This window comes from Homo sapiens, chromosome 1, assembly GCF_000001405.40.
Source record: "Homo sapiens chromosome 1, GRCh38.p14 Primary Assembly".
In the NCBI taxonomy this organism is placed as follows: domain Eukaryota; kingdom Metazoa; phylum Chordata; class Mammalia; order Primates; family Hominidae; genus Homo; species Homo sapiens.
Genome location: NC_000001.11, coordinates 92366945 through 92386846, shown reverse-complemented (window position 1 = coordinate 92386846; position 19902 = coordinate 92366945). Strand labels below are relative to the sequence as shown.

General features: G+C 39.9%; 2 protein-coding genes across 3 annotated transcripts in view; one reads left to right on the top strand and one right to left on the bottom strand.

Annotated features, from left to right (window-relative positions):
* RPAP2 (RNA polymerase II associated protein 2) overlaps positions 1–19902 on the bottom strand; it is a 102998-nt gene that overhangs the window by 15210 nt on the left and 67886 nt on the right. For both annotated transcript variants that reach the window (NM_024813.3, XM_047430820.1), the window contains one exon: positions 5974–6123. In NM_024813.3, the coding sequence (NP_079089.2) occupies positions 5974–6123 (150 nt within the window). Of the gene's footprint in view, positions 1–5973; positions 6124–19902 lie in introns of those variants that run through there.
* The window catches only part of GLMN (glomulin, FKBP associated protein), a 124443-nt gene continuing 120543 nt past the window's right edge, over positions 16003–19902 (top strand). Inside the window, exon 1 of the mRNA XM_011540546.3 lies at positions 16003–19775. The gene's annotated coding sequence lies outside the window, so the exon portion shown is untranslated. The remainder of the gene's footprint in view (positions 19776–19902) is intronic.

Sequence of the window (19902 nt, the reverse complement as noted above, 5' to 3'; positions counted from 1 at the left end):
CACCTGTAGTCCCAGCTACTCGGAAGGATGAGGCAGAAGAATTGCTTGAACTCGGGAGGCAGAGATTGCAGTGAGCCAAGATTGCACCATTGCACTCCAGCCTGGGTGACAGAGCAAGACACCATCTCAAAAAAAACCCAAAAAACAAAACAACAAAAAAACATGTAAAGTATTTTACTAGCTGTTGTAGACACTGTGTGTCTTGTCAATATTCATTCAATTTCTTCCCCATCATGTATATTCTACCCAACAACAGTTTGGGTGGAGTAGACTGAGCTTCGTATTCAACTTGAGGGCTAAGTTTTAACTGATCAAGGTCAACTGGAAAAGCCCTTCTCTTTCCTTCATCCCTAGCCAGAATGATTTCATTAGCTCTTCCCCTTATCCTTTGCCAGAATGATTTCGTTAGCTCACAGCATTCCCATGACCCCATGAATTGGTTCAGGGCTGTCCTCAGTCAGGATGAAGTTCAAGACTCTCACCAAGGCAGTATGGTATGCTATATATAAAACTGGAGCCTACTGAACATTTTTGCCCCTCTGCTAGACACCTTCTAAGATATCCCCCAATGGCTGTTGTCTCCTGGTATTCATGCCCTTGTATAATCCTCTCACCTTGAGTATGGGCTGGACCTAGTGACTAGTTTCTAACTAACAGAATATAGCAAAAGTGATGGGATGTCACTTCTGAGATTAGTTATTAATACAAAAAGACTGTGGCTTCCATCATGGGTATCCTCTCTCACTGGCTCACTCCGATGGAAGCCACATGCCATGTTGTGAGGTGCACTCTAGAAAGGCCTATGGGCAGGGGATTAGGGGAGGTTTCTAGACAACAGTGAGAAACTGAGACCCTGAGTTCAATAGTCTATGAGGAGTGCGATCCTGCCAACAACCACATGAGTGAGCCTGAAGGAGATCTTCCATTCTAGCCTTCAGGTGACATCATAGCGCTGGCAGATAGCTTAACTGTAACATCAGGAAAGACCCTGAGCCAGAGGCTCCCAGTTCAACTGCACCTAGATTCCTGACTCACAGAAACTGTGACATAAAAAATGTTTGTTACTTTAAACCACAAACATCTTTTTTGTTTGTTTGTTTGTTTGGAGAAATTTGTTAGTAACAAAAGTTAACTAATATACCACAATAACAAAAGGTAGTTGGAAATGGATTTTTTTTCTGTTATTCACAACTGAAAGCATATTAATATACTAGGTAGTAATCTTCAAAAGGTTACTAGATATTAAAATCTCTAAACTCAAATGAATTTACCATGGCATACCAAAATAATGCAAACAAAAAAACCTTCTATCCTTCTACTCACAACCATCTTCATTTCTCATATAGAAAATTATGTAATAAGGGCCATTCATTCATAATCCTTTATAATACTGACAAAGTAATCTGGGCCAAGATTTACCTTTGATTACTTAAGCAAATGAACAATGTAAATAAATAATGATCATAGGGGAACTGTTAAGTCCACTTAAAACATCTACTGTTGAAAGTCCTTAAAACTACTTTAACATCATCTGTTTATGTACAAGTTTAAAATATGCTAGTTAAAATGATTTTTAATTGGTATCTATTCATTACAGCAGGTTTAGAAGGACTTCTGGCTAGGTACTGTTTGCTCTCAGTCTGAAATAGAAACCTCTTTTTTTTTTTTTTTTTGAGACAGGGTCTTGCTCTGGTGCCCAGGCTGGAGTGCAGTGGTGTGATCATGGCTCACTGCAGCCTCGACCTCCTGGGCTCAAGAAATCCTCCTGCCTCAGCCTCCCGAGTAGCTGGGATTACAGGCAGGTGCCACCTGTAGGCAACCATATCTGACTAATTTTTTTATTTTTTGTAGAGACAGGATCTCTACAAAACTGGGCAACTTTGTTGCCAGACTGGTCTTGAACTCCTGGGCTCAAGCGATCCTCCCACCTTGGCCTCCCAAAGTGCTGGAATTTTAGGCATAAGCTACTGCACCCAGCCAAGACACCTGTCAACCAATGTACAAAGGATGTCATGGACTGAGGAGTATGATTGGTTTAAATTCCAACCTCTCCATATTCTTTAAGGGCCTTTGAATGTTATGCTTATACAAACCAACCCAAGCTCACTCCTTCAGTAAAAGCCTTTGCTATATAGTGTCCTCAGAGTAGCAGGATCACTTGAAAAGACCATTGGGTATAAATTGGGGGGCAGTTACAGTGCTAATTCCTTTTTTTTTTTTTTTGAGATGGAGTTTTGCACTGTCACCCAGGCTGGAGTGCAGTGGCACAATCTCGGCTCACTGCGACCTCCACCTCCTGAGTTCAAGTGATTCTCCTGCCTCAGCCTCCTGAGTAGCTGGGATTACAGGCACTTGCCACCACGCCCAGCTAATTTTTGTATTTTTAGTAGAGACAGGGTTTCACCATGTTGGCCAGGCTGGTCTTGAAATCCTGACCTCAAGTGATCCTCCTGCCTCAGCCTCCCAAAGTGCTGGGATTACAGGCATTAGCCACTGCGCACCCGGTCTGGTATTCTTTCTTAATCACCAAAATCACCTCTTTCAAATATCTTTCCTGTATATTTAGAGATTTGATTAAAGATTGTTTTATAGGCCAGGCACGGTGGCTCACGCTTGTAATCCCAGCACTTTGGGAGGCTGAGGCAGGCAGATCACGAGGTCAAGAAATCGAGACCATCCTGGCCAACATGGTGAAACCCCATGTCTACTAAAAATACAAAAATTAGCTGGGCGTGGTGGTGCACGCCTGTAGTCCCAGCTACAGGGAGGCTGAGGCAGGAGAATCGCTTGAACTGGGAGGCAGGTGTTGCAGTGAGCTGAGATTGCACCACTGCATTCCAGCCTGGCAACAGAGCGAGACTCCGTCTCAAAAAAAAAAAGATTGTTTTATAAAAATTCAAATAATAAAAATAAATATTAAATGACAGACATAATAAGAGCTATCTATGACAAACCCACAGCCAATATCATACTGAAAAACTGGAAGCATTCTCTTTGAAAAATGGGCACAAGACAGGGATGCCCTCTCTCACCACTCCTATTCAACATAGCGTTGGAAGTTCTGGCCAGGGAAATCAGGCAGGAGAAGGAAATACAGGGTATCAATTAGGAAAAGAGGAAGTCAAATTGTCCCTGTTTGCAGATGACATGATTGTATATCTAGAAAACCCCATCGTCTCAGCCCAAAATCTCCTCAAGCTGATAAGCAACTTCAGCAAAGTCTCAGGATACAAAATCAATGTACAAAAATCACAAGCATTCTTATACACCAATAACAGACAAACAGCCAAATCATGAGTGAACTCCCATTCACAATTGCTTCAAAGATAATAAAATACCTAGGAATCCAACTTACAAGGGATGTGAAGGACCTCTTCAAGGAGAACTACAAACCACTGCTCAATGAAATAAAAGAGGATACAAACAAATGGAAGAACATTCCATGCTCATGGGTAGGAAGAATCAATGTCGTGAAAATGGCCATACTGCCCAAGGTAATTTATAGATTCAATGCCATCCCCATAAAGCTACCAATGACTTTCTTCACAGAATTGGAAAAAACTACTTTAAAGTTCATATGGAACCAAAAAAGAGCCTGCATTGCCAAGTCAATCCTAAGCCAAAAGAACAAAGCTGGAGGCATCACGCTACCTGACTTCAAACTATACTACAAGGCTACAGTAACCAAAACAGCATGGTACTGGTACCAAAACAGAGATATAGATGAATGGAACAGAACAGAGCCCTCAGAAATAATGCCGCATATCTGCAACTATCTGATCTTGGACAAACCTGACCAAAACAAGAAATGGGGAAAGAATTCCCTATTTAATAAATGGTGCTGGGAAAACTGGCTAGCCATATGTAGAAGGCTGAAACTGGATCCCTTCCTTACACCTTATACAAAAATTAATTCAAGATGGATTAAAGACTTACATGTTAGACCTAAAACCATAAAAACCCTAGAAGAAAACCTAGGCAATACCATTCAGGACATAGGCATGGGCAAGGACTTCATGTCTAAAACACCAAAAGCAATGGCAACAAAAGCCAAAATTGACAAATGGGATCTAATTAAACTAAAGAGCTTCTGCACAGCAAAGAAACTACCATCAGAGTGAACAGGCAACCTACAGAATGGGAGAAAATTTTTGCAACCTACTCATCGACAAAGGGCTAATATCCAGAATCTACAATGAACTCAAACAAATTTACAAGAAAAAAGCAAACAACCCCATCAAAAAGTGGGTGAAGGATATGAACAGACACTTCTCAAAAGAAGACATTTATGCAGCCAAAAGACACATGAAAAAATGCTCATCATCACTGGCCATCAGAGAAATGCAAATCAAAACCACAATGAGATACCATCTCACACCAGTTAGAATGGCGATCATTAAAAAGTCAGGAAACAACAGGTGCTGGAGAGGATGTGGAGAAATAGGAACACTTGTACGCTGTTGGTGGGACTGTAAACTAGTTCAACCATTGTGGAAGTCAGTGTGGCGATTCCTCAGGGATCTAGATCTAGAAATACCATTTGACCCAGCTATCCCATTACTGGGTATATACCCAAAGGATTATGAATCATGCTGCTATAAAGACACATGCACACATATGTTTATAGAGGCACTATTCACAATAGCAAAGACTTGGAACCAACCTAAATGTCCAACAATGATAGACTGGATTAAGAAAATGTGGCACATATACACCATGGAATACTATGCAGCCATAAAAAATGATGAGTTCATGTCCTTTGTAGGGACATGGATGAAACTGGAAACCATCATTCTCAGCAAACTATCACAAGGACAAAAAACCAAACACCGCATGTTCTCACTCATAGGTGGGAATTGAACAAAGAGAACACATGGACACAGGAAGGGGAACATCACACACCGGGGACTGTTGTGGGGTGGGGGGTGGGGGAGGGATAGCATTAGGAGATATACCTAATGTTAAATGACAAATTAATGGGTGCAGCACACCAACATGGCACATGTATACATATGTAGCAAACCTGCACATTGTGCACATGTACCCTAAAACTTAAAGTATAATAATAATAAAATTAAAAAAAATAATAAAATAAATGACAGACATCAAGTATGCTTGTGGGAAAGAGATAGGATTAGAGGCAGAGGTGAAGGGGGAATTTTCCTTTTATATTTATGCAGTCTGTATTGCTTAATTTTTATTTTACAACATTCTGTATTGCTTTTATAATTTAAAAAACGTTAAAAAAAAAAAAAAAAGAAAATCTCCCTGAGAGAATCTCATTTGTAGCTTAGGATGAATTTCCTCAATTATAACATTAAATCAGTACCTATCTGAGCATGCACTTTGGGATTGTGTGAAATGAGAAGGAAGGAATACATGGAAAGTTATAATTAAGGCAGGACAAGGAAGGGAATATTCTGATGGGCAGTTCTGAAAGAGGGAAGGGTTTGGGATAGTAGGAGAGGGCTGTGTATCTGGGAACAGGGTTAGGATTCAACAAAGTCAGACTTGTAAATTCACCTGCTTATCTGTACATGAAATGACTAAGGTATTGGCTGGGTAGGGGTTGATTTCACTGAAAGGGGCAGTAGGATGAGGATGTTCACAATGGATCACTGCAGTAGCCGAGTTGAAGTAAACTGCTACTTCCTGGGAAGAAACTTATCAGATGGGACATGTGGGATAGCCTACACTTGAGTATGAAACTGATAATGCGGAGCTTCCTGGACTGCAAAAAACAGAACTGTTGTAACCTACAAGAGAGGAATGCAACAAATATGGGGCACAAAGTAAGTAGACAGGAAGTGACTGAGGCAGTTGAGAACTAAGGGATATCATGTCCTTCCTTAGCAAACTGAGGGCATCTTGAGGTCTGTACTTGGTTTTTACAATTTCCAATTAAAAAAAAAAAGAATCCACATAGGCAACAAATGAAGAATAAAAACCAAAATAAAACACAATCCAACTTACCACTCTGGTAAACAGCTGGTTCTAAATATGATGGTTAGACTTTCAAGGTCTTCATTTTTTAGATGTAATTCTTCAAGGAGGGTGTCTAGAAACCGTGTAAACACCATACCTTCCTGAGAATGTTTCTGAATGCCAAGAATTGGGGTCAGTCTGAAACAACCAAAAATACTAAATGCATATCCATGAAATGATAAGGGCAAAGGGACTCCTATCTTCAACATGGCAGAGAAAATTTTATGAGAATAATAAAGTCTCTTTGATTTAACTAAACTCCCAGAGAGAAGGCTTTACTAACAAAGGCAGAAGAGAAGTCTCAGGAAAAGACTGAAAGATCAAACATTAAGTATGAAAGAAGTATAAAAGCCTAAATCTATAATATGTTTGTTCTTCTTCATGCCAGCAAAAACTACTAAAATTCTGCTCAGAAAATGAACTCTTTCCATTTGGGAAAGGGAGGTTACGAAAAGGAGTTTAGAGCTGAGAATTGCTTTAAAAACATACTTATATTAGATGTTTGGATTATATCACCTAAAAAGACAATAGTAAACAAACAAGATTACCTTTTGAATGAAATTTTATTTGTTTTTTTTTTTTTGAGGCAGAGTCTCGCTTCTGTCATCTAGGCTGGAGTGCAGTGGTACAATCTCAGCTCACTGCAACCTCCACCTCCTGGGTTCAAGCGATTCTCCTGCCTCAGCCTCCCGAGTAGTTGGGATTATAGGTGCTTGCCACCACGCCCGGCTAATTTTCGTTTTTTTGGTAGAGACGGGGTTTCACCATGTTGGCCAGGCTGGTCTCGAACTCCTGGCCTCAGGCGATCCACCAGCCTCAGGCGATCCACCAGCCTCAGCCTCCCAAAGTGTTAGGATTACAGGCGTGAGCCACCATGCCTGGTCAACATTTTTATATTTATTTATTTATATTATTATTATTTTTAAATTTTTTGAGATGGAGTCTTGCTCTGTCACCCAGGCTGGAATGCAGTGGTGCAATCTCAGCTCACAGCAACCTCCTGGGTTCAAGCAATTCTCCTGCCTCAGCCTCCTGAGTAGCTGGGACTACAGGTGTGTGCCACCACGCCTGGCTAATTTTTGTATTTTTAGTAGAGATGGGGTTTCACCATGTTGGCCAGGCTGGTCTCGAACTCCTGACCTGAAACAATATACCTGCCTTGGCCTCCCAAAGTGCTGGGATTACAAGCGTGAGCCACCACGCCTGGCTAACATTTTTCTTTTTAAAACACTAAATAAATGAATTACGTCTTGTAAGGCACTTCATACCAATTCTGTAAGAAACAATACGCTTTTTTCTCTAATCATTTCCAGTAAGTACTCCTAAAGATTGACTCTGCACAATGGAATTTTAAAAGTAATTTAAACTGAAATGTGATCAGGACATGATTTTTAAAAACTGAGCAATATCTATTCTAATTATAAAGATTAAAGACCCTGACTTCTCATAAATATATATATTTTTTTCTCTAGAGAGTATGCGTCTCAGAGTTCTTACAAGTTACATTCCTAGAAAGCTTTTTGGGAGAAAATTCTTTTCTCCCCAAATAGTTTTACACTTCCCACAAAGCTCTTTCAGATATTTATTTAACCTTGGTTATTTGCCTGGGCATATTTAATAAAAATAAAATAACTCTCAAATTTAAATCAATAAAGCTCAAGAAATCAGAGCAGATCAGTTCCATAGTAGTCAGTGTGAAATGTAAGTGTTTTCTGAGAGGCAGATTTTCTTCCTTGCTTAGCCCATCCTATACGGAAAGTAGAAGTAAAAGGGAAATTTTGTCAGAATTGTCCAAATATGGCCAGGACTTCCAGAGGAGGTGGGAAATTCTCTATGTCCCTGAAGTATTTTAGCAAGAACTGGAGATGAGATGACTGCAATAGTCCAATGAAATCCATAGAATTCTAACTGGGAAAATTGCTATTGTGCATTCCTTTACCATCTCTCCTGTATTTCTTTGCAGCTAGGAGATGGAGTACTAAGTTCTCAGACTTCATGAGCTTTGTCTGCACATATTCCCCAAAGGTAGTTCATACTGAGAAATAGGACTACCCAAGTATTCCAATGCCAAGCCCAAGCTGGGTATAGAGGTAAACCTAGAGTTGTGGCCAGCTTTTTTTCTGAGGCATTTTCCTGTAGAGAAGATGGAACCGAGAAGCTAACTCTAGCTTTTCCAATACTTAAGTGATGTCAACATTTAAAATATTAAGTTGCTACTTCCCCATAGTAAGACCAAGAATAAGGGATGGGATAACACTGGCTAAAATAAAACCAAGAAGTCCAAGTCAGGCGGTTCAAATATACCAACTCCACAGAAACCTAGCTTTTGTTTATATTTAAAGTGGTACTGGCCGGGCGCGATGGCTCATGCCTGTAATCCCAGCACATTGGGAGGCCGAGGTGGGCGGATCATTTGGTCAGGAGTTCAAAACCAGCCTGGCCAACATGGTGAAACCCCATCTGTACTAAAAATAAAAAATAAAAAATAAATTAGCCTGGTGTGGTGGTGGGCACCTGTAATCCTAGCTACTCAGGAGGCTGAGGTAGGAGAATCGCTTGAACCCAGGAGGCGGAGGTTGCAGTGAGCAGAGATCACACCGCTGCACTCCAGCCTGGGCAACAGAGTGAGACTCCATCTCAAAAATGAATGAATGAATGAATGAATGAATGAATGAATAAATAAAGTGGTACTTATTTGACACATCCAAAACGACTTCTCTGACTTTCAAGGAGATTAGTATTTGGCTCATATGTGAAAATAAGGTTTTCTCAATTCCTTCTCAAAGTGCCATTAGTACTTAACCCAAATGTCCAAACTTAAACCTAAAATTATAAATAAATGGTGACTACTAGATTTCTCAATCTGTGTGCCCATATGAGAATAGCAAATGTAAAGAGTTATTACAGAGAAACAGCTGTAAGAGCTGCCCCTCTATCAACTGCCTTAGTTACAAACTATTTTAGGAATAATAATACTTCTCTAGAAAACTTGTAAGGCTAAAATGATTCTATAAATTACTAAAACCAAAATTTCTGTTTATAAAGAAATCCTTGGATTAATGAGAAACTTTAGGTAGGAGGAAACAAACAAACACAAAAGGAGAGCAAGGACATAATCCCACTACATGTTCCTGAGCCCATGGCAAATACTGCTCATCTATCAGGCATTCTTTTCTTAATGAGCTTGGACCTGCTTTGAGAATTATCAAAACAGGACTCTGAATAACCATTTCAACTGTTCAGGGCTGGCTCTTGAGATGAAACCTGTTCCCCCCCAGTCTAACTACAAGCCCTAGAGGAACTATGTACACAACCCAATTCTTTTTTTTTTTTTTTTTTTTTTTTGAGACAAAGTTTCGCTCTGTCATTAGGCTGGAGTGCAGTGGCACGATCTTGGCTCACTGCAACCTCCGCCTCCCAGGTTCAAGCGATTATCCTGCCTCAGCCTCCTGAGTAGCTGGACTACAGGCGTGTGCCACCACGCCCAGCTAATGTTTGTATTTTTAGTAGAGAAGTGGTTTCATCATGTTGGCCAGGATGGTCTCGATCTCTTGACCTTGTGATCCACCCGCCTCGGCCTCCCAAAATGCTGAGATTACAGGCATGAGCCACCGCGCCCGGCCTACACAACCCAATTCTAATCCTAGCCCTGCTAGGAATGCTTGTATGACTTGGGGCAAGTTGCACCTCAAAGCCTTAGGGTCTATCTATAAAATGGGGCTGATAATACTAAAGTACCTTAAAAGATTATTACAAAACTCAAATGGGATACTGTAGAGGAATAGCTCTTTTTATCAATTATAGTATTGGTTATATTATCAACTAACATTTACCATGTGCTACTTATGAGTACTTACCATGTACTATGTTCTAAACATGAATTATCTCCTTTAAATGTACAGAGATCCTAAGGATGTAGTTGTCACCTCCATTTAACAGACAAGGAAATAAAGGCATAAAAAATAGAAGTATCTTCCCCAAGTTCACAAAGATAGTAAGTAGCAGGTTAGGGCTTTGAACCTAAACAATTTATCTCAAAAAGCCCAAACTCTTAGCTAATATGCTAGCTTTCATTCTTTGTAGGCTATAAAGTGCTATAAATTTAATTGTTACTTGCCTGACTCATACGTACTGATCCCTCAATGAACATACAGAAGGAATAGAATGATTTAAATTTGCTTTAGAGAACTAGAGGACTACAGATGTAAAAATGGCAAGTAGTTGGGAGGCAGAAGGAAGTGCTGATAGAGAAATCACACAAAGTCTGGTGTCTGGTGGAGACAAGAATATCAACTTGGGGCCTAGAGATTTCTACAGCAAGTCATCAAACAAATAGATAGCAATCCTCAGGCATCTGGAGACAGGATTTCCTGACTATTCTTAACACGTGACCCCTAACTGTTGCTGCATAATTATATTCTTGGAAAGTTTAGTCAGTAAGGAAATAAGATTTCCTTTAATCTTATTTATTCCCTTGTATTTCCCTTTTAATCTTTAACTGAAAAGACTCCTCCCCCACCAGTCCCTAACAGAATATAAATGATTATAGATCTATATAATATAGTCGTCTCTCAGTATCTGTCGGGGATTGGCTCCAGGACCTCCCATGGAAATCAAATTCTGAGGATGCCCAGGTCCTTGATATAAAATAGCATAGTATTTGCATATAACCTATGCACATCCTCCCGTATACTTTAAATCATTTCTACATTACTTATAACATCTAATACTATGTAAGTGTTATGTAAATAGTTATACTGTATTTTTAAGGGGAAAATGACAAGAAAAAATGTCCATAGGTGTTCAAAGCAGATGCAGTTTTTTCTTTCCCTGAATATTTTAATTTTTTTTTTTTTTTTTTTGAGACAGAGTCTCACTCTGTCACCCAGGGTGGAGTGCAATGGCGCTATCTTGGCTCACTGCAACCTCTGCCTCCTGGGTTCAAGCGGTTTTTGGGCCTCTGCTTCCTGAGTGGCTGGGACTACAGGTGAGCGCCACCACACCCATCTAAATTTTTTGTTTGTTTGTTTTGAGACAGAGTCTCACCCTGTCACCCAGGCTGGGGTGCAGTGGCTCTATCTTGGCTCACTGCAACCTCCGCCTCTTGGGTTCAAGTGATTCTCCTGCCTTAGCCTCCTGAGTAGCTGGAATTATAGGCGTCCGCTACCACACCCAGCTAATTTTTGTATTTTTACTAGAGATGGGGTTTCACCATGTTGGCCAGACTGATCTTCAACTCCTGACCTCAAGTGATCTGCCCGCGTAGGCCTCCCAAAGTGCTGAGATTACAGGCTTGAGCCACTGCGCCTGTCCAATTTTTTGTATTTTTAGTAGAGACAGGGTTTCACCATGTTGCCTAGGCTGGTCTTGAACTCCTGAGCTCAGGCAGTCCACCTGCCTCAGCCTCCCAAAGTGCTAGGATTACAGGTGTGAGCCACTGCACCGGCCCTTTCCCTGAATATTTCTGATCTGTGATTCGCTGAATCCACAGTTACAGAACCCCTGTGTACAAAGAACTAACTGTATTAGCTTTCTAAGAGTTATAAGTTGAGAAATTATTTTTGGAATTAGGCGATGTATACATGAATAAATACTGTAATAGTTCCTGTGTATTTCTAAATATTAATCTAGTGGACTACTTTTGGAGTCATGTAAAACATATTATTTTTAAGATGCTGAACCCTGAAAATCTGATGTATAATATAATTTTATGAATGATTCATTCAAGAGTATTATGATTTGCTTTTATTTCCAAAGTAATTTACATTCAAAATTGAATAAGGTCTATATATAATCTTTATGTTTTCCAGATTCATTTAACATGCTTTATTACTTAATAGCACAGATTCCTTGCCCCATCTACTTTATTTTTATTTATTTATTAAATTTTATTTTATTTCAGTGGTTTTGGGGGAGCAGGTGGTTTTTGCTTACATAGATAAGCTCTTTAGAGGCGATTTCTGAGATTCTGGTGCACCCATCACCCAAGCAGTATACACTGTATCCAATGTGCAGTTTTTTAATCCCTCACTCCCTCTCACCCATCAACTTTATGTTTTATTACTTAATAGCAATTAACTACCTGCATGCTTTTCCAGTCTGGCTGCTTACTGGGCATTTTCTGAATTCCATGTTATGTCTGTAGCAAGAGGCTCTGTGTCTCCTTGCATAGATGAATCAGAAGTGAGATTATAACATTTTATCCGCCTACTATGGTTTTGATCAACTATAAGAATTGGTTGTAGCTATTGCCAAAGATGCTACTTACTATTGGGATTCTTTTTAGGACACATACTGCCCTAATGATAGGTGTCATTGGAGTAACTCGAGTTTAGGACCTATCTGATGTAGAGGTCCAAGCACTGAGCTTGGAGATAAGGTTCTATTCAGAGTGTGCTTTTGTTAGTAGTAACCATGGAAGAGGACTTTGTAAACCACAAAGCACCTAGCAACGCAGTCCCTATATGTGCATAGAACCAGGCCCAGTGAAAAATGAACAGACTTAATACCAGAACTGTTCTTTTCATGGTCAGTAATGGCCTCCTAACTTCCACTTCTGAAAGGCTCTTCTGTGTTCTCTTCCTAGTTAACTGCAGTATTGGATGTTTCTGATCACTTCCTCCCTTCCTAGAATTCTCCTCCTCTTAGTCATGGTTTTTCTCCTACCCCTGATTCTTTATAATCTCTCTTGTTGGCTTCTCAATGTAATAGAATAGGTCAATGGACAACCTATGGTCCACAGGCCAAATTGGGCTTCCCATTTATTTCAAATACAGCCATAACCATTTATTTACATATTCCATAGTTGCTTTCATGCTACAACAGCACAATCAAGTAGTTGCAAGTGTAGTACCAGCAAAGACAAACATATTTATGATCTAGTCCTTTACCAAAGTTTGCCAACCCCTGTACTATTACATACAGCTTTAATTATTTTTTTTTGAGACCAAGTTTTGCTCTTGTTGCCCAGACTGGAGTACAATGGCGCTATCTCTGCTCACTGCAACCTCCGCCTCCTGGGTTCAAGCAGTTCTTCAGCCTGAGTCCCGAGTAGCTGGGATTACAGGTGCGCCACCACCACGCCTGGCTACTTTTTTTTTTTTTTTTTTTTTTTTTTTTTTTATTTTTAGTAGAGACGGGGTTTCACCATGTTGGCCAGGCTGCTCTCGAACTCCTGACCTCAGGTGATCCGCCTGCCCTGGCCTCCCAAAGTGCTAGGATTACAGGTGTAAGCCACTGTACATGGCCTTACAGTTTTAATTTAAAATGAATAACTCAGTCATTAATGTAATGCTTTATATACTATCGCTCTGATGATTAGAGCAATTACAACAGGAGATGAGAAATCTAAAGGAACCGTTTAGCTCTAGGATATTCACGGGCTGATCTATGAAAAATCTCTCACATACTGGACCACTTACGGATGGAGGATGCTTAGTAACCAAAACTATCTCATAAAAGTTTCCAGCTGGAGAGAGTATTTTCCCTGGCTCATTCTATTCCAATCATACTGGCTAACCATATCTCAATTTGTGCTGAGGTTAAATTTGTCCTCACTTTAGAGGCTTCTTTAGAGGCTTGCTTGGGGATATTCCCCCTCAGTTCTCTGCATGGTAGGATCCTTCATGTGATTCAGTTTTGTTTAATGTCACCTTTCCCTCTAAAAATCCATCCTCAGTCTCACCTCTCTACTTCCTTTCTTTGCTTTTTCTCCATCATCATTAATAATTGTCTATTTGTTTGCTTGTCTATCTCCATCCAAAAGAATGTGAACGTCATGAGGACAATGACTTCATATATTGTGTCCACTGTATCCGTCGTGCCTGTTACACTGTAGATCATCAATAATTACTTGTTGAAGAACTAGTTTAAGAGGACAATTATTTATTGTGATTACCGAAATGTTTTTCTCTTTCACAAAATTTTCCTCCTCTCATTTGGAAGATTGAGATGAGGCCTTGCTGTGTCACTCTGGCTGTAGTGCAGTGGTGCGATCATAGCTCACTGAAGCCTCGAACTCCTGGGCTCAAGCAATCCTCCTGCCTCAGCCTCCAAAGTATTAATAGCTGGGACTACAGGCATGTGCCACCATACCCGGCTACTTTAAAAAAATTTTTTTAGTGTCTTGCTATATTGCCCAGGGTGGTCTTGAACTCCTGGCCTCAAGCAATCCTCCTACCTCATCCTCCTGAGAGACTGGGATTATAGGTGTGAGCCACTGTGCTGGGCTCCCCTCCTTTCATTTTTAGAAGAATGGAGGAAACATTTTCTTCATTCCCCCTCCCCCAGGCCACACATTCTGCATCTTCCTGCCAGAATATTTCAAAACATCCATCAGTGAGGTGTGAGATGAGCTTTAAATTCATCAGGCATTAAATCATGACCTACCACTTGTTACTGAAATTCTCTTCCTCACTTCCATTTGTCCTGGAATTCAGTGTTGTCTGGGAAGCCCTACGACTGGCTAAGCATGAATAGTGCTATGTGCCACTGAGCAGGCTTAGGCGTTAGCTTTAATTCACTTCCAGAACTACAAAGGAAACTGTAGAGCAAGGGGCTGGGCCTGGAGTGGTTGCTTGGTCCCTTTCTCAGGAACAAAAGTACTTAATTAAGCCTTATAGGTGAAATATGAAAGGAGAGGAAATTCTTTTCATTCTAAATGATATGAGATTTACTTGGCCAAGGGAAGAAGCAATTTAGGGTATCTACATAAAGTTATTTTTTAATTGGCAAATAAAAATTGCATATATTTATGGAGTACAACATGATGTTTTGAAATATGTGTACATTGTGGAATGACTGCGTCAAGCTAATTAACATATGCATTACCTCATATACTTATTTTTATGTGGTAAGAACACTTAAATCTACTGTTTTGATGATGATGATAATAATGGCTAATATTTATTGCTTTCTAGGTGTAAGATACTTCTTTTTGTTTTGCTTTTTCTGGTTTTTTTTTTTTTTTTTTTGAGACAGGGTCTCACTGTCACCCAGGATGGAGTGCAGTGGTGCAATCGGAGCTCACTGCAGCCTCAATCTCCTGGCCTCAAGCAATCCTTCCACCTCAGCCTCCCAAAGTGCTGGGAATACAGGCATGAGCCACTGCACCTGGCCCAGGTTTTTTTTTTAAGATTCCACATATAAGTGAGATTGTGCAGTATTTGTATTTGTGCCTGGCTTATTTCACTTAACTTAACATCCTCCAGATTCACCTATGTCGTCACAAATAACAGGATTTCCTTCTTTTTAAAGCTGAATATATGCCGCTGTTTATATGTATATAATATATATACCATATTTTCTTTATTCATGTATCTGTTGATGGACACTTCGGCTGATTCCATATCTTGGCTATTGTGAACAATGCTGCAATGAAAATGGGAGTGCAGATGTCTCTTTGACATACTGATTTCATTTCCTGTGGATCTATCTTATCTATCTATCCATCTGTCTTATTTATCTACCTAGATACCTACCCACCCACCCACCCTTCAGTGGGATTGCTGGATTATACTGTAGGTATATATATATATATATATTTTTTTTTTTTTTTTGAGACAGAGACTCACTCTATTGCCCAGGCTGGACTGCAATGGCACGATCTCAGCTCACTGCGAACTCTGCCTTCCAGGTTCAAGTGATTCTCCTGCCTCAGCCTCCCGAGTAGCTGGGATTACAGGCACATGCCACCACGCCTGGCTGATTTTTCTATTTTTAGTAGAGACGGGGTTTCACCATGTTGGCCAGGCTGATCTCGAACTCCTGACCTCATGATCCACCCACCTTGGCCTCCCAAAGTGCTGGGATTACAGGCATGAGCCACAGTGCCCGGCCTATTTTTAATTTCTTGAGGAACCTCCACATTGTTCTCCATAATGGCTGTACTAATTTACACTCCCACTGACAATGTTCAAGGGTTCCCTTTTCCAGGTATCTTCACCAATGCTTGTTATCTATAGGTCTTTATTTCTGTGTAATTCTGGCTATCACTATTCTTGCATGGGGTATATTTTTATTTTTTTTAGGTAAATGAGAATAGCAGAAAGTATCAGCAAAATGAAGACTCAACTGTTTTGGGGATTTATACTCCCTTTCAGTCTCCTTCTATTAAGAATTAAATGAGACCCAAAGCCCCCACCCCCGTGTTTTTTTTTAAAGTCTCACCAAAGTAAGCAGAATAGACCCTTTCTTAATATAGTGATTTGGTCTCTTTTCACAAAACTGCTAATAAACTACCTACATGATTTTGAAGGATGGAGATTCTACACTTCTATGTGTAGCATGCTGCAACAGTTAATAAACCTTAAATTCTAGACACTGTTTCTCATATATAATCTAAATGTCTCTTGCAGGATTTTATTTTCTTCTTCATGGAACTTTTGTGGGTGTTTTTGGTGGGGGGGTACGAAAGCTCTTGAAGTTATTCCTTCATATTCTTGAAAATGATTCTCAGTTAATTCCAAGTCTTTTTAATCTTTCCTTATAGATGCCATCTGACTACTCCCTATTGGGATTGGTGTTTGCAGTGGTGTTCTTTCCTATACTCACTTCTAGCTTATCATTTTCTTAAAGCGTAGTGCCCCATAATATAAATATTGTCCAAACTGTCCAAATTCAGTACTTCAAAATATAAAACAAAACATGTCCAACCCCACAGAAATATATCATAAAATAGACTGGGCACAGTGGCTCATGCCTGTAATCCCAGCACTTTGGGAGGCTGATGCGGGCGGATCACTTTTGGCCAGGAGTTCAAGACAAGCCTGGCCAACATGGTGAAACCCCATCTCTACTAAAAATACAAAAATTAGCTGGGCATGGTGGCACATGCCTGTAGTCCCAGCTACTTGGGAGGATGAGGCACAAGAATCACTTGAACCCTGGAGGTGGGGGTTGCAGTAAGCCGAGATCGCACCACTGCACTCCAGCCTGGGTGACAGAGCAAGACTCTTGTCTCACAGAAAGAGAAACATACAAAATAAAAATGTTTACTTTCAGGTTATCTTTCTTTGAAGTACAATTGCAAGATCTTACCAAACACCTGCTTCCTCTCTTTTTCTTTTGTTAAATTGACTCCCCAGGCTCCTCTTTTCTCCTTATTCCTTTATCTGTGCAGTATAAATTATGATATACTAATTACTTACCTGTTTAATTTTTTCATTAATGAACAACTCCTACCCCAATACACAATGAAAGGGACTCAAGCCTCTATTCCAATCTTGCAACTTCTAATAGTGAATATCAAATAAATCCAGGATGGGAGTGGTGACTTATACCTGCAATCCCAGTGCATTGGAAGGCTGAGGTAGGAAGACTGTTTGAGGCCTGGAACTTGAGACCAGTCTGGGCAACAGAGCAAGATCCCATCTCTACTAAAAATAAAAAAATTAGTTGAGTGTGGAGGTGCACGCCTGAAGTCCCAACAAGAGGCTGAGGTGGGAGGATCGGTTCCCACAACTTGTAAACTTGACCCCAGGAGTTCAAGTTTACAGTGCGCTATGATCATGTCACTGTACTCCAACCTGGATGAAACAGCGAGACAGACCTTGTCTCTAAAACATAAACAAAACAAACAAGCAAAACCCCATAATAACATGGTGGGCCCAAATAACTTCTATGTAAATAAAAAACAGTAATTTATACTACAGCTGATATTTAATGTGTTTTATGCAGGAAATACTTATTAAAATAATCAGCAGAGAATGTGATTGGCTGTAAGTAAAAACAAAAGATTTCTGTTGAAAGTTATTTCTTTCAATTGCTTTTAAGTATGAATAAAAACCTCAAAAGGTGACACTTAAGATGGCTTAACACAGGCTATCTGCTGGTGAATATAATTTGAAAACAACTCACATGATAAAAACTTACAATGTATAAATCACAAATGAGGAAACTGCTCATGAAACCTCCACCAATTCAAACCTCACTTCTGAAAATACAGATATCCTTCTATAACAATTCTTTACCATATGGTAAGTGGCGTAACAACAAAAGCAAAAAGCCAAGTGTCAAACTGCATCTTATTGATAAGACCTTTATTTAGCTGACTGCTCCACATATGCTACACATCAAAAGGAAAGAATGTAAATCAGGTTAGGACAAGTACCCTCCATTTGTTATTACTGAGCTATCAAACAACATCTGGTTAACAGGAATTATTATATACAGTAGTAAGAAGAGTTTCCAAGTTTGGGCAAGATAACTGAATCAAGAGAGAGATTTTTAATTAAAAGTTGGCATTTTTATTAAAACCTTCTATCCAAGGATTTAGAGCTGTACAAACTCTTGACTAAACCTCAGAAGTAAGGTACCCATAATTTTGGAAGTCACCAGTTTGTATTCTGTCAACAGAAAAATATATATAAAGAGTTAAAGTTGTGGTTTATTGAGCAAGTAGAGCTAAACTGATGAATCTCTATGTTTTTTATCTCGTGGAGTACAATAAAAGTCAGTAACGAACTTGGATTTTTTTCTTTTTTTGAGACAGAGTCTTGCTCTGTCGCCCAGGCTAGAGTGCAGTGGCACGATCTCGGCTCACTGCAACTTCTGCCTCCTGGGTTCAGGCGATTCTCCTGCCTCAGCCTCCCGAGTAGCTGGCATTACAGGTGCCCACCACCACGCCTAGCTAATTTATGTATTTTTATTAGAGATGGGGTTTCAGCGTGTTGGCCAGGCTGGTCTCAAACTCCTGACCTTGTGACCCACTGTGGCCAGCCATGAACTTGGATTTTTAAGTGGCCTTCCCCATTCTGGTCCCTATTGTCTTGCTCACTGCACTCATACTGAACCACTGGAAACTCCATATTGTAGCTCCACAATCTGAATTATCCTTTCCTGAATAATCCTAGGTGATACGTGTGAAGATCACATCAGGCACCTTCCTAAAATGATATAGCACAGATAGCTGCAAACCTGACTTTCAAAACTGGACAGAAGTAATAACTCTCTCATAGAAGGATTTTCCTGAGCGTTCATAATTTATTTCCAAATTTGCAAAATCAAACGAGTAGGCAGTTATAAAATGACACGGAACAACACTCCTCATACTCCACATAATCTTTCTTACAGAATAAAGAGCTGTGAGAATGTCTATGTGAATAAAATGTCACCAGAAAGCATGCTTCTCTATGGTTTGGGGTTGGAGGAAGGGACAGGAAGTGAAAGGCCACACACTTTTCTGTACCTATCAGATTTGAGAAATTACTGGGTTCATGCAGAGTTCTGCTGCAGTAGGGAGACCTGTTCTGCTGATTACCATGCATAAAGGTGATGAAGATGTAAAGACTGCTAAAAGATAACATTGGGCTGAAAAGAAAATTTTTTTAAACACTCATTCTCTCACCCTTCAGAAGTTAGGGCTGGGAAGGAGAAGGTAGGAAGATTATTTCTGTCAAACAGCCATACCTTCAATGTGTACATGCACAGGCACTATGTTTATCACTTTAACCAATTAAAACAAATGGGTATTATAATACCTGACACTTTGAAGGCTTACAATCAAACAAACGCAAAAGCCGTCTGGGATAGATGAGGCACTAATTAATAATGGGTTGGGTAAGTAAAGAATCTAAAAGAAGAGGTTTAACAGCATAGTCTTATTTTAGGAGGCTATACGGTTATATTTGAGGAAATCACACTTAATTTTCCCAAATGTGTTTTAGGTGCAACCTATCCAGTCACTTTCCTTTTGAGAGCTGAAGTACCTGAAGCTTTGGAGATGGTAAAGGAATTATTGAGGGTCATACTGGCTAAGAAGAGTGCTAAAAGTGGAGACCTTTATCACAAAGGTATCTTGTTTATTTGCTTATCTATCAAGCCCCAATATTTTCTTCCTGCATGGCAGTAACAACTGTCACCTTACCCATATTTTATCTTCTTCTAAAACTTGAGTAGAGATTTCTCCCTTTTCTACAA